The sequence below is a fragment of the Homo sapiens genome, chromosome 20 (genome assembly GCF_000001405.40).
Source record: "Homo sapiens chromosome 20, GRCh38.p14 Primary Assembly".
Classification (NCBI taxonomy): Eukaryota; Metazoa; Chordata; class Mammalia; order Primates; family Hominidae; genus Homo; species Homo sapiens.
The window spans coordinates 58035387-58048840 of NC_000020.11; the positions used below are offsets into that span (position 1 = coordinate 58035387).

The 13454-nt window shown below is 49.5% G+C and overlaps 3 annotated features.

The window, feature by feature from the left end:
• Positions 2463-2964: an enhancer, noted in NCBI's record as "H3K4me1 hESC enhancer chr20:56612905-56613406 (GRCh37/hg19 assembly coordinates)". NCBI's record gives its function as "activates a minimal SCP1, AML or CMV promoter by ChIP-STARR-seq in naive H9 embryonic stem cells {active_cell/tissue: H9 hESC(naive)}" and the evidence as "EXISTENCE:reporter gene assay evidence [ECO:0000049][PMID:30033119]".
• Positions 2965-3464: an enhancer, noted in NCBI's record as "H3K4me1 hESC enhancer chr20:56613407-56613906 (GRCh37/hg19 assembly coordinates)". NCBI's record gives its function as "activates a minimal SCP1, AML or CMV promoter by ChIP-STARR-seq in naive H9 embryonic stem cells {active_cell/tissue: H9 hESC(naive)}" and the evidence as "EXISTENCE:reporter gene assay evidence [ECO:0000049][PMID:30033119]".
• Positions 12747-13041: a silencer, noted in NCBI's record as "tiled region #7266; HepG2 Repressive non-DNase unmatched - State 20:ReprD, and K562 Repressive non-DNase unmatched - State 10:DNaseD". NCBI's record gives its function as "represses a minimal TATA promoter and a strong SV40 promoter by Sharpr-MPRA in HepG2 and K562 cells {active_cell/tissue: HepG2 | K562}" and the evidence as "EXISTENCE:reporter gene assay evidence [ECO:0000049][PMID:27701403]".

Consider the following 13454-nt stretch of genomic DNA (forward strand, 5'->3'; position numbering starts at 1 on the left):
TGTCCTAAATTTGATATTTCAATACAGAATCTCCTTCCTCTGAGCACCAAAATGCCCTGAAACCAATAACCAACCTAATAGCCATGAGCATCTGAGGCTCCCAGATTGTGGTGTTGAAATACCATTTCCCACTGAAAGAAACCAGGGATTCTTGGAGAAATGGCTGGTTTGAAGTCCAGGGCGGGAAATGTGTATAATGGGCCCAGAACTCTTGACTTGCCAGAGTGTAAGAAAACAATCTGAGTGTACTAAGCTCATATCAAAGGGAAACAGAGCCAACTTGGAGAAGCTTCCAGAAGGTGAAGATACGGCAGGTTGAGCTTCAAAAAGGATACATTTGTAATTGATTAAAACCCATCAGGCCTGGCACGGTGGCTCACGCCTGTAATCCCAGCACTTTGGGAGGCTGAGGCAGGCGGATCACGAGGTCAAGAGATTGAGACCATCCTGGCCAACATGGTGAAACCCTGTTTCTACTAAAACTACAAAAATTAGCTGGGCATGGTGGTGCATGCCTGTAGTCCCAGCTACTCCTGAGGCTGAGGCAGGAGAATCTCTTGAACCGGGGAGGCAGAGGTTGCAGTGAGCCAAGATGGCACCACTGCACTCCAGCCTGGTGACAGAGTGAGACTCCGAGAAAAAAAAAACATTAATATGTTTAAATTTATAATACGTATAAAAGTAAATCTGTGGAGGATGATAGGGAATCAACTCATTATTTTGAAAATTGATGTGTGAAGAGAAAGAATCGAGCATTTATCTTGCTTGTCTCTTGTGAGCTGTGTCACTGGGCAATCAAATAGTAGATGAGAGGGCATGTCTCTTTTTAAAAATAATCTAGCTATTAAGTGAAAAAGGAATGATAAAATTAGAAGATGACCATTTTGCAACCCCCAATGAATTAATGGATCTAAACATCGGGTATCAATAGCCTCTAACATCAGAGAAAGAGAGACAGGCATCGCGTGCCTCTTATGAAAGAACACGTCATCTGTGGTCTTGCCAGAGGGATTGAACCTGAATTTGATCAAACCTCTAGACCAGCTGCCAATCTGAAGAATACACCAAGAACAAAGGAACATGTTAAACTGCACCCGCAGTCTGCAATCAGCCAACCTCAGACCATGGGAAATTCTACAGGTCAATTTTCTTGGGCTCTTCTGTAGATTCTAACAAATTATAGATGGGCAAAGAGCTGGGGAAGTGGAGGAGGAAACTGCAGGTGAAGAGAGACTTGAAAAAAAAACACCTTTTTTAATGGGCAAGACCAAACTATAATGGCTGGGAATATACACTAGAGTCATAAAACCAAAAAGAAACACAAGAATGTGATTGCTGTAAAAGTCAGGATAATCGTTACTTTTGGAGGAGTGGGGATGGGATTGGGATTAAGATACCTGGAGGGTCTTTGGGGATAGAAGGCAAAGTTGTCTTTCTTGACCCAGGTGAGACTGCAAGGGTGTTCCCCTTATGGTAACTCTTTAGCTATACAGTTGTTTCATGTGGGTTTCTTAATGCTTTGTTTTACAATAAAAGGTTTAAAAGCTACATACACAGAATTATCTTAATGGTACTGAAAATACATACATTGAATGAATAAAAGACAATATGCTACAATAGGCCAGGTGCTGTGGCTCACGTCTGTAATCCCAACACTTTGGAACGTTGAGGCGAGTGGATGTCTTGAGCTCAGGAGTTTGAAACCAGCCTGGGCAACATGGCGAAACCCTGTCTCTACAAAAAATACAAAAATTAGCCGGACTTGGGTGGCGTGTGCCTGAAGTCCCAACTACTTAGGGACTGAGGTGGGAGAATGGTTTGTGCCCAGGAGGTCGAGGCTGCAGTGAGCTGTGATGATGCCACTGCACTCAGCCTGAGCAACAAAGCAAGACCCTGTCTCAAAAAAAAAAAAAAATGCTGAAAACAGTGACTGTAGTCATCTCTGGGGAAAAGGATTCTGAATGACTTTCACTTTCTCCTTTGTGTCTTTCCATATTTTCCACTGTGGTATTTCTAATAGGAAAAAAAGAAGTATGTCTATTTTTTACTTGTTTAATCTTAAAGCTTTTAATTGGATGTCCCAGAAGAGAAAGATGTCTACATTTGGATTTTTCTGTCTTATTAACCACTATATTCCCAGAACCTAAAACAGTGACTGGAATACAAAGGGCATCCATATGTACCTATCGAATAAAGCAGCCGGCATGTGTATCCAGAACATTCCAACATTCCACAAGGGGAGAAATAATTGGCATTTTTTGCCTCAGTTTCTTTCACAAAGCAATAGACTCATTCATTAAACCTCATCATCCCCTTCCCACCTGTTGGCCTAAGGCCCCTGGGCTGCATCCTCATGGCCCCTGTAAGTGGGCAGAGACATTGCTGGGTATACCCCACTGGTGTTTCATCACCATGGAGCCTGCTGGTCTGGGGAGAAATACAGAGGCTGCAACCTGCTCTCCTACCTGAGAGTCCTGGGACATGCCCCTCAAATTACGACAACCACCCACCAGCCCCTGAAGTGAGTTGGAACAGAACGCCACCCAGCTTGTCACAGGTAGTATAGGATTTGGAGATAGAGCAGTGTTGGATTCACAAAAACAGGATCCTCCTAAACACCCCTCCCTTTAACAAAAACAAAAAAGTGCTATTTACCAGTAGCAGGTGTGTTGAGGCAGAAAAAATCATGAGCAACAATACAGGATGTCAGTACAGGAAATGCAGGGAAGACTGTTCTCAGAGCACCAAAATAGACTCGAGGACATGGAGCACGAGGAGAAACTGGGGTCTGGGGGGCAACACCAAACACCGGGCACAGGGAGTCAGCCCACCCCTTTGGCCACGGTTTCTTCAGCTGCCAAATGGGTGTGAGCTGCTGCACAGGGGCTGGGAGGATCCAGTGAGGCAGTGCTCAAAGATGGCCTTGGAGGCCTTGGGAGGAAAGTACCCCCTGGGCTCTGCCTGCCCACGCTTGGATCCCTAGAGGCTGGCTTGGGGCATGGCACACCGCAGGTGCTCAATGACAAGTGTCTTTAACCCCTGCTGGCTTCCCGTTCTCTCTGACAGCCAAAGTCCTCATCATGGCTCTCAGGCCCTGCACCCCCACGCTCCCCATCATGTCACCTCTCTGACCTCACCTCCTCCATGCTCTCCCACTCACCCCACTCCTGCCCCTCAGCCCCCTTGCTGATCCTCAAACACACCACACTTTCTCCTACCCCAGGGCCTTTGCACCTGCAGACTCTCCTGCCCCGAACAATCTCTCCCCAGGGTCCTCATGGCTTGTCCTCATCTACTGCCTTCAGGACCAAGTTCAAGGGTCCCTTCCTCAGTTAAACCACACCGACCACCATCCTTGACCACCCTCCTCCACCCCAACACTTCTTCCTACCAATGCTTCTTCCTGGCACCTGGCACTTCCTGGCACCTGGCACAGGTCTTGATTCCACTGGCACGTGGGAGGTGCCCTTCCATATTTGTTTCATATGCCAACGTGAACCCATGCATTCATGACACTTATTATCACATCGTTACTACTCAGCTCTTGGTTTTCGTTAGTGCATTTCATCTTCACTTCAACACCTCGGCCAGCAAAAGGGGCTGCGGACGCTCAAGACTGGGCCGGCTCCCTGGCATCATTCACCTGGTAGCTCACAGCCAGAATCCGAACTGTGGATTCAGGTTGGAATTGTGTGAGCAACACCTTGAGGCCACACAAGCAGTCAGTGAGCCAGGGAAAAGATGGAAGCCTCCTCTGTGCTGATAAATTATTATTTGCATTGTTCTCCGAAGTGGTGAATTTCCTCTTCCTTGGCCAGCTTCATCTGAAGTTCCCAGCTCCCAAGAAGTGTCTGAAGACTTGAGAGATTTTTCCCTGTGAAAGCCCACCCTTTGAGGGTCTCAGGCAGCCCAGTGTTATCCAGATTTTAAAAAAACAGAATCTCTTTCCAGCACCCCTGAAATCCCGCCTCACCCTCTGCCAGGGGGTTGTTGAGTGAACAGTTAATTGAGTTCAGTCCTGTTGCCTTCTGCGTGGCCCCTCTCTCATTTTTTTCCAGCTTGTTGAGCTATTAGGATGTTGACCAGCTGCCACTGCCAGAGCTTCAGTTAGAAAGTTGGCAGCCTCTGGTCTTGAACCCTGAACAAAGAGGACGGACCCAGGGAGGGCCTGGGAAGAGGACAGCAGGGCTGTGGGATGCCTGACCATCGGCTCTAAAATCCCCCTTTGTCTCATAAACCCTGCCCTTGGACTGCGGGAAGTTCACGGCCCTTCCAGAAGCGAGTGTCACAGCCAGCTATTAAAGACATGTTTCTGTGAGAATGGCCAGGGCTTGGCTCCCGGGGGAGTGTGGGCCGCACAGGGGCTTCTGCAAAGAAAGGCCATTGTCAGGAGAGAGCAGAGAGCAGCCACCACCAACGCCGAGCCCTCGGGTGCGGAAGTGATTATCTGGGCACAGAAGAGCTGGCAGATCCCGACGCCAGCGTGGGCTGGCCGTGTCCAGCCCCCGAGGCACAAACAAGGACATCAAGGAGGTCCCCCAGACAGCCCGGCCCTGAACGGAGCCAAGAGCAGCCACAGAATAATCGCTGCCATTTATGACGCACATGGTGTGCCAGGCCAGGACATGCGTGACCATTTAGTCTTCCCAAAACTCCTGCACAGAAGAGGCGGTGATGCCCGAGTGAGGCGAGTGACCTTCCCTGGAACTGAGGCCAGGCGGCCAGTGAGAAGGGAGGCAGGACATGCCCACACTCACCTAGAAGATCCTAACCCCGCCTCTGCCCTTGTTTCTTCCAATCCACACACCACCCTGCAGTCAGAGGCGCCTTCCTAAAACTCAAATCTGATCATGCCCCTGCCAGGCTTAGTATCCTTCCGTGGCTCCCCAGTGCTCTGGGGGAGAAAGTACAGTTTCCTTGATGTGGCTTCCAAAGGATCTTATCACCCACCCTCACCTGCCTTAGCAGCCTGATGTTCAACCACGCCCCAGTGATTCTCATTCCTTCACGTTCTCTCCCTCTCCCTCCCTCTCTCCCTCGCCTCTGGTCCTTCCAGCATCCTAGTCTCTATTGCTTCCATCTTTCTCCTAGCACTTATCAGACCATGCCGTAAGTCCTCTGTGACGTGTTGGTATCCCTACACACCCCCACCCCCCACCCCACACACACACATGCACACACTAGATTCTAAATCCCACAGGGAGAGCAGGGACCACATCTTTCATGTCCACCACTCCTTCCTGAGAGGCCTGCACGGAGCCAATAGCAGGTACCTGAGGCATGTGTGCTGATGCGGCAGTGACGGGGGCTGCTTCTGAAGTTCCCGTTCTTTCCTCAACACCTCACTGCCTTCACTTGATAACTCGCTGCACTGAGGGCTTAACTTTTTCCATCTAAACTTGCAGCTCTGTGACTATTTGGAAGTTAAATGGAGAGCGGGCTTGGATAGTTGAGGCTGACTTTGGGGAAGGTGATGGGGTAACGAGGTCACCACCTGCTCCCTGGCTGTGGGAAGAGTTAATCATTATTTCACGTCTTGTGCTTTGCAAGGGAAGCAAAGCCCTCAGCCCAGTGGGCATTGTTTGGCCTGCTCCATCCTCCTTCTGCCGGGCTAAGACCTGTGACATCAGCTGCTACGGGGGTTGAAGGAGATTCTGCATTCCAAGGCCCTTCGACTCAGCATTCTTTTCTGCCAGGTTAACCCACTGACCCAGCACTGGCCTTGTCCCCACGGACCTGTGATGCTGCAGGGTTCTCAGCCTGGGCAGGCATAAGAATCACCAGCCTGGGGAGACCCTTGAGAATGCAGACTTTGGGGCCTTGCCCCTACTATTGAGACTCAGAGGCCTCGAGTGGGACCTAGGAATCTGTGTGTGTTCCAAGCCTTTCATGGGACTCTCAGCATACTGTGAAAAACACTAGCCAGGGTAGCTGGGATGCTCCTGTTCAATATCATGACGTATCTAACATTTCCTTGAAGTCAAAAGCATCTTTCAACATGTGAAGAGCCATATTAATAAAAATTACTGCCAGCAGTGTACCAGACATGGTTATTATTCATCTCATTTTTGAGAAAAACCCAACAAGGTGATCATTGTCTCCATCTCCCAGGTTCCTTACCTGGGATCACATGGCATGCAAACACCAGACCTTGGATTTCAGCCCAGGTGTCACCCACCAAGGAAATTATTGGAGGAGCTCCTCAGTGGGCTCATGGCTTCCTATGAGTCTAGAATAAGGACCAAGCCAGAACGGACAATCAGGAATGAGACTGGTAGATTCTTCTAGGCTCAGACAAACATTAAATGGGGGAGCAGAAGAGGGAGTGTGGACATAAGCCATGCTGGCAGTGGGCAGGTGCCAGCTCCCTGTCTCAGTTCCCTTGTCTGTAAAATAGAAATTGAATCCCAACTCCACAGGGTTGTTTGAGGGTTGCACCATGATATGGTTTGGCTGTGTCCCCACCCAAATCTCACCCAAATCGTGAATTCCCATGTGTTGTGGGAGGGACCTGGTGGGAGGTAATTGAATCATAGGGGTGCGTTTTTCTGGTGCTGTTCTTGTGATAGTGAATAAGTCTCATGAGATCTGAGTTTCCCTGCAGTCTCTCTTTGCCTGCTGCCATCCACGTAAGATGTGACTTGCTCCTCCTTGCCTTCTTCCATGATTGTGAGGCCTCCCCAGCCATGTGGAACTGTAAGTCCAATTAAACCTCTTTCTTTTGTAAATTGCCCAGTCTTGGGTATGTCTTTATCAGCAGCATGAAAACGGAATACACACCATGTATAAGGAACCTGGATGCAGTAAGTGCTCAACAAACAGTAGTTATTGCAATAGGAGCTGATGTGGCTACTATTCCCAACTTCTGCAGGGGTTGAAATGTCTTAGCTAAACAAGGGGATTCTTTTAAGCTAGTTAATTGGCTATTTAAAACATTTTCAAAATTGGCCAGTAAAAAAATTAATCTCTAGTTAATTATCAGCTCCTATTTTTCTGTTTTCTACCTGGCAATTTTTGCAAAACACCCTCCTCTCTCCTGCTTCACTCTATGATATGCTACAGTTGATCCAGGTTGCTTTATCTCCCATTTCACATTTTTGTAAATGTGATTATTTAACTGTGTAAAGTGTTATGGGATATGTTTGGAATGAAAGTCACTTTTCAAATAGAAATGAAGTTGGCATATATTGCATTTAAATCTCTAGTGGGGAGCCGTAGGGGGATGAGAGAGAAGTACACTCAGATATACTTGGGTTTGGGCTTAGAGAAATCTTCTCTCCTCTTTCCTGGCTGGCCAAGATAATATTACTAACAGAAATCTCCTTGGGAAGGAAAAAGTCCTTTGATGCTTATGATGCAAATTGAAAATGCAGAGGGAAATGAGAGCTGAGCTCCTGGGCTTTCCCACTCTGCTCCTCCCCAGAACTGTGAAAAAGACAAACACATACTTTTGCAAGTTCTATTGCCACATCTGAAAAGACAAGAAGAATTTTGTGTTGGTGGTGGAAAGAGTGACAGGGATGAGCCAGTCCCTAGTGTACAGGCAGATGTGGGGCTGGGGCAAGGAAACTGATAGATTTGAAAAATGAAGCAAGAGTGAAGATCCTTTTAATCAAAGAAACCAACAGAGGCATGGAATTGTAACTGACCACCAACCTGTTGGATATCAACTCTTGGCAAGAGGGGGCAGACTGGGCAGCTGGACATGGTTTGGGAACCCTAGTTACAGGGGTGAAGGGTTTTGCTCACTTCTCTCCACCAGGACACCAAGGCAGCTGCCAGAGCACATGGTGCCCATGAGGAAATGAGAAAATAGGCATCTGCCCCACACCCCAGGGCAGAAATAGGGGCACCCAGCTGGACTGACGTCCCCTTGTGAGCTATGGATGCAGACCTGGATCCACCATGCGTGCCATGCAGGGCCATGTGCCCCAGGCCCCCTTCAAGGAAGGACTGCCCAACTGTGGGAGTGTCCTTCAAAAGGTCACCCCTTCCTGGGGCTGCCGGGCACAGACTGGGGCAGGCTGGGCCCGAAGGCTGGGCTGGGAGGGCAGGATCAGCTGCCGGCTGAGCCTCTTGCCAGCTGGCCTCAGCCACCCACCCCCCGGCCCTCTTGCTATTCCTGCTTCTCCCGTCCACTTCCTTTGACAGCTGTTGGTCCCTAATAATATGTCAGGCCCCAAATTCCACTTCAGCAGCTGCTTTTGAAGAGCCCGATGACGACTCCACGTTCTCCCTCTCAGTCCAGCTGAGAGGGACAGACATCAATGCAGGGATCAAAGAAGTAAATTAAATATTGCAGCTGAAATCCCTGCTAAAAGAGGGAGCTGCCCCAACCCATGAGAGGATGTCAGGGCAGGGTGGGGCCCCGGGCAGCAAGTCAGGAAGGGGTGTTCCTCCAGGATGAGCTCCTAGGATCCGGGGGGATGGTGGGGTTGCCTGGGTGAGGAGAAGGCACAGGTGCAGGCTCTCGGGGAGGCTTTGGGGAGGAGAGGGAAGGCTGGCATGGGGGTAGGGGGCAGGAAAGTTTATGTCATGGAGCTGGGGAGTTGCCAGGGTGGACCACTGTGCAGAGACGCTTGGGCAAGAGCAAAGGTTTTGGTCATTATCCTAAGATTGACGTGTTTTAAACCTGGGGTGGTCGGATCAGATTTGCATTGTAAAAAGGTCATTCAGCCCTCTGGGAAGTAGCACAGAGGCCGTGTGGTGCTGAAAGGGGTGTTTTGGACTATTTGGGCCACAAGGAGCCCCAGTCCTTCCTGGAGAAGAAAGAGCCATCTGAGGAGGGTGTGCAGCAGAGGGAGGGGTTACAGCCAAGAGCTTTTCTGCGTCCCCACTGCCTGGGTTGGGGGCAGCCTTCCAGCCCCCGGGGTGAGTGTTTCACAGAAGAGCTCAGCTATCAGGCTTCTGCCCAAAGAGAGTCCATGAGGGAATATTCACCAGAGTTTGTGAGTGCCAGGGGCAAAGCAGTGTGCTGTCATTGATTTTTCCAAACCTGGGGGCCTTCCGAGGCCCAGAGGCACCAGCAGAGTACAGACGAGTGGAGGCAAATGCAGATGCAGTCACCATAGCCCCAGGTGCCGGTGTTCCCCAGTGGCTTATTAGAAGGATTCATCAGGCAGATGGAAACTGGGGGAGCAGAGAAGGGGAAGGACGGAGGGCAGTTGCATTTGGAGCTCTGGGTTCCAGAGTCTGAGGGTCAAAGCAGACTAGGCTCTTTCTGGAAAAATACAGAAGTGACCGGCAAGGGGAAAATGGAAAACAGCATTGTGCATTGCAGGGCCTGTCGACCAGGGTACACAGGAAACAACAGGTGGCTTCCACAGGCTGCACCTCCAGGCCAACCCATTTGCAAGCTCATGACAATGGACTATCATGGCTCCCATTTTCCAGGAGGGGAAATGATGGAGAGGAAGGTAAAAACATCGTGCCTCAGGCCTCACGGTGACAGAGGTGAGGCCAAGATTCAAACCCAGGTCTAGGGGCACCAAAGCCACTGCCCCAGCCCCCAGCCCAAAGGCAAATGATCCCCTGAGGGTGCCTCCCCCAGGGGCAGAAGACAGGGCCCCAGTAGCAGTCGTGGGGAGGAGGACCACGCACTAGGTAAACAGCAGGCAGTAGCTAAATGCTGAGCAGTGTGACCGATGTTATCATTGGTAATAACTTAGTACATTCATGGGGCACTCCATTTACAAAGTGGCTTCATGCCTACTTTCTCACCTCTGTGTTGCTCAACTCAGTAAGGGAGGGAGAAAGAATGAGAATCTTAAAATAATGACTTCTGTTTTCGGGAAGACAGAGTATGCATGCCTTTCCCTGTTCCTCTTGCTAATCACAGCTAAGCCTGCACATGAATGTTAGGCCTTTGGCCAAATGCCACTGAAGGCCAGAGTTCACAAGAACCCATTGACATGGTCCTCCCAGGCCAGCCTCCTCCCAGGGCAGCAGGAGGATGAGGAAGGACGGCGAGAGGGTCTGGACAGGCCGGCAGAAGCTGAACAGCCCAAATGTCCCCTGCTTTCTCCAGACCCTACCCCTCCTCGCCAGGCCACACCCACAGCAGCTTACACAGCACTCCCAGGAGAGTCAGGCATCCGTTTAATCAGTTTCATAAGCACCTACTGTGTGCCAAGGATGCTTCTGGGCTCTAAAGATACAGAGGGGAATAAAACATAAAACATGGTTCCTGTTCTCATGAAACTTGGCCACGGGGAAGATAGAAGATAAACAACTAAACACATAGATGAGAAAGAACAGTCAGATAATACAACTGCATAAGGGAACAAAGCAAGTCCATATGGGAGGGATGAGGAGGGACACATTAGCTCCAGGGGCCAGGCGTCTCCCTGACGAGCCAGAGGATGCAGCCCCTGCAGGTTCCTGGCAGACAGGAGCACGGGACAGAGGGCCAGGATTGGGCGTACTGAGCCCACTCCAATAGCTGGGCCACTGCTAATGTGCGGGCTCATATTAGCACCTATGGTCCTAGATAATGCAGAGTCCAGTGCCATTATTTTTCATACTTTGTGCTTATTTTTCCGGCCAGACCAGGAAAGCTGTTTGACACCTACACAATGAGGAGCAAGAAATTCAGACCTTCCTCCTCCTGAGGCCCCATTTCCTTCCCTCTGGGGTTGTTGTGAAGATGGGATTCGATCATGAATATAACATTCACTGCCGTGAGTGGAACAGTTATTGAAATTGTCTACCAGTAGCTTTAACTAGCAGCATTAATACTACTATTAATCACGGAAGCCAGCCTTTATTAAGCACTTACTGTATTCCAGGCACTGTTCTGAGTGCTTTCCAGAGAGTAATGCATTTCACCCTCACCACTCTGGAAGGGAGGTGCAATAATTATCCTTGTCTCATAGATGAGGAAACTGAGACACACAGGGGAGAAGTCACTTTCCCAGAGTCACATAGCCGCCAGACCACAGAGCCAAGCCAGCCTGACCCAGCACGTGCTGCAGAAGCTGCTGCTGGATTTTGTCTGCACAAAAGCCCCATGGGCAGATAGGATTCATCTTACTTCGTGCCTCAGTGGCTGAATCTATAAAACGAAACTGAATGACTTGGCCAAAGTCACCCCAGCTCAGAGGTGGCAGAGATAGGATGGGAATCCAGGCCTTGACTCCTCCTGCAGTGCCCAACCCCCACCACACATGACTTCTCTCACACCTTGTACACTGCAGGTATTTGGCCAGTACCTGGGAGACATTTCTGATTTTTTTTCCACGGCATGTCCATTTTGATCACATTTTCTTCTACATGTGGGAACAAAACTAGACACAACTTTGCTGAAAGTCTGAGCTAGCCTTACTTTTACCTGCAGCTGAGAAAGTTAGCTTCTTCCCTCACCAAGGCTAAAAGGGCAAGAGATGACACACCCAGCAAGAAAACCGAAAATAACAAAATCAGTCAATGTGGAACAAACATTACTCCCCGGCAACTGGGGCCAGGTATTTATGCTGCGATGAGACAAAGGCAGACTCTTTCTCCTTAGATTTTAGCACTTGCTTCCAAAACAGCAGAGGGCCCTGCAGGGGAACCAGCGGAGGATGGATGGCATCTGGCATTGATTGGTAGCCAGGCTGAATAATACATCAAGGGTCTGTGACTTCATCACAAAAGCCTGGCGGGCTGGCCTCCTGCAAACCAGACTCCCCAGGGACTGGGCCTCACCAGGTGTCTTCAATTAGAAATACAGTGGGAGCAATGCTTCTGAACCGATTCTGAAAGGCAGGCTCCCGGGCTGAGAGACGGAGTGAAGGGACATGCTCAAGGTTCCTTCCCCTCCATGCCTCATAGTGGGCCCTGCCCTGGGGATAAGCCTCCTACAGCCCCTCGTGAGCTCCATCCACTGCCAAAGATGAGTCAAATAGCAAGATAAGGCTGCCTCCTTTTTTTTTTTTTTTTTGAGACAGAGTCTTGCTCTGTCGCCCAGGCTGGAGTGGAGTGGTGCAATCTCGGCTCACTGCAAGCCCCGCCTCCCGGGTTCATGCCATTCTCCTGCCTCAGCCTCCCAAATAGCTGGGACTACAGGCGCCAGCCAACACGCCTGGCTTTTTTTTTTTTTTGTATTTTTAGTAGAGACGGGGTTTCACCATGTTAGCCGGGATGGTCTCCATCTCCTGACCTCATGATCCACTCGCCTCAGCCTCCCAAAGTGCTGGGATTACAGGCGTGAGCCACCGCGCCTGGCTAATTTTTTTTTTTTTTTTGTATTTTCAGTAGAGATGGGGTTTCACCGTGTTAGCCAGGATGGTCTCGATCTCCAAGATAAGGCTGCCTCCTAAGCCTCGCATCTGTTGTCTGTAAGAGAGCCACGGCTGTGCAGGAAGGAGGGATGAGGCGGTGGAGTCCTGGGTGTCAGGTCCTGTACTACAGGCCGAGCACAGGGAGAGGAGCAAGCTTTCCTCCTTCCCCTCCTTTCTTTCTCCCTTGAACATTTGCTGAAGTGTCACCTATGTTCCAGATGTTGTGCTAGGAAGCAAAATACAGCACCAAACAAGATAAGCATGGTCACTGCCCTGCTCCCAAGGAAGGATGCTTTGGAAGGCCTTTCACTGAATATCTGTCCTCACCTACTCTGTGCCACTCACAGGCTTGGTTGAGGATCAAACTCTTTTTGCAGAAGAGGAAAGGGAGACTCCAAGAGGGGCAATGCTCTGTCCCTAGATCTGTGACCTTGGGCAAGTGGTAGTTTGGACTGAGCATTCCTAAGCTATATCCAGGGCACCCCATGCTTCCTGGCCTCATGTTTAGCTCCTTGTGAGAGGGTCAGGTCGCCCACTAGCAGATGAACTCCTTGCTCATCCTTGTGTTCCAAGCAGAAACTAACACAAAACCAGACAACCTGGAATGAAGACAAGAAACCCTTGGCCTGCTGGGTCATGAAGCTATTTCTGGCTGCTGTCCATGGTACTGGCAAGAAGCATGAAGCCTGCCAATGTCAGGTGGTTAGAGCCCTCTTGGGAAGCTAAAAGATTCTTATCGTCCAATTCATGCTTTTCACAGCCTCCTTGGTTTTTCACTGGGTCTTTCCAACAAGTCTTACCTGTCTCCTCTCTCAACTCCCGGTGAGCTTTTCTGTTGGCCAGTGGATGCCTTGTATTAGATGTTTGTCTTTTTTTTTTTTTTCTGGTCTCCTGTTATTTTCCCAAGTCATTCTTAACCTTGGAAGCAGAGAACACTCACAACCAGCTGTACTTGGTGTTGCATATTAAATAATCTTTGTTTTGATTCATGTGTTAAAGTCCTTTATCCATTCTCTTGCATTACAGAGACCCCAGTCTTAACACATATTTCTTACATCATGTTTCCCAAATGTCAGTCACCCACATACCTCCCACATGATTTTTGCCATACTCTTACACCACCTATCATTCTATGCCAAATATATTTCCTAAAATCAACCCTTTTAAAAGTTTTAGTAGGTCTTATTTTTTAGA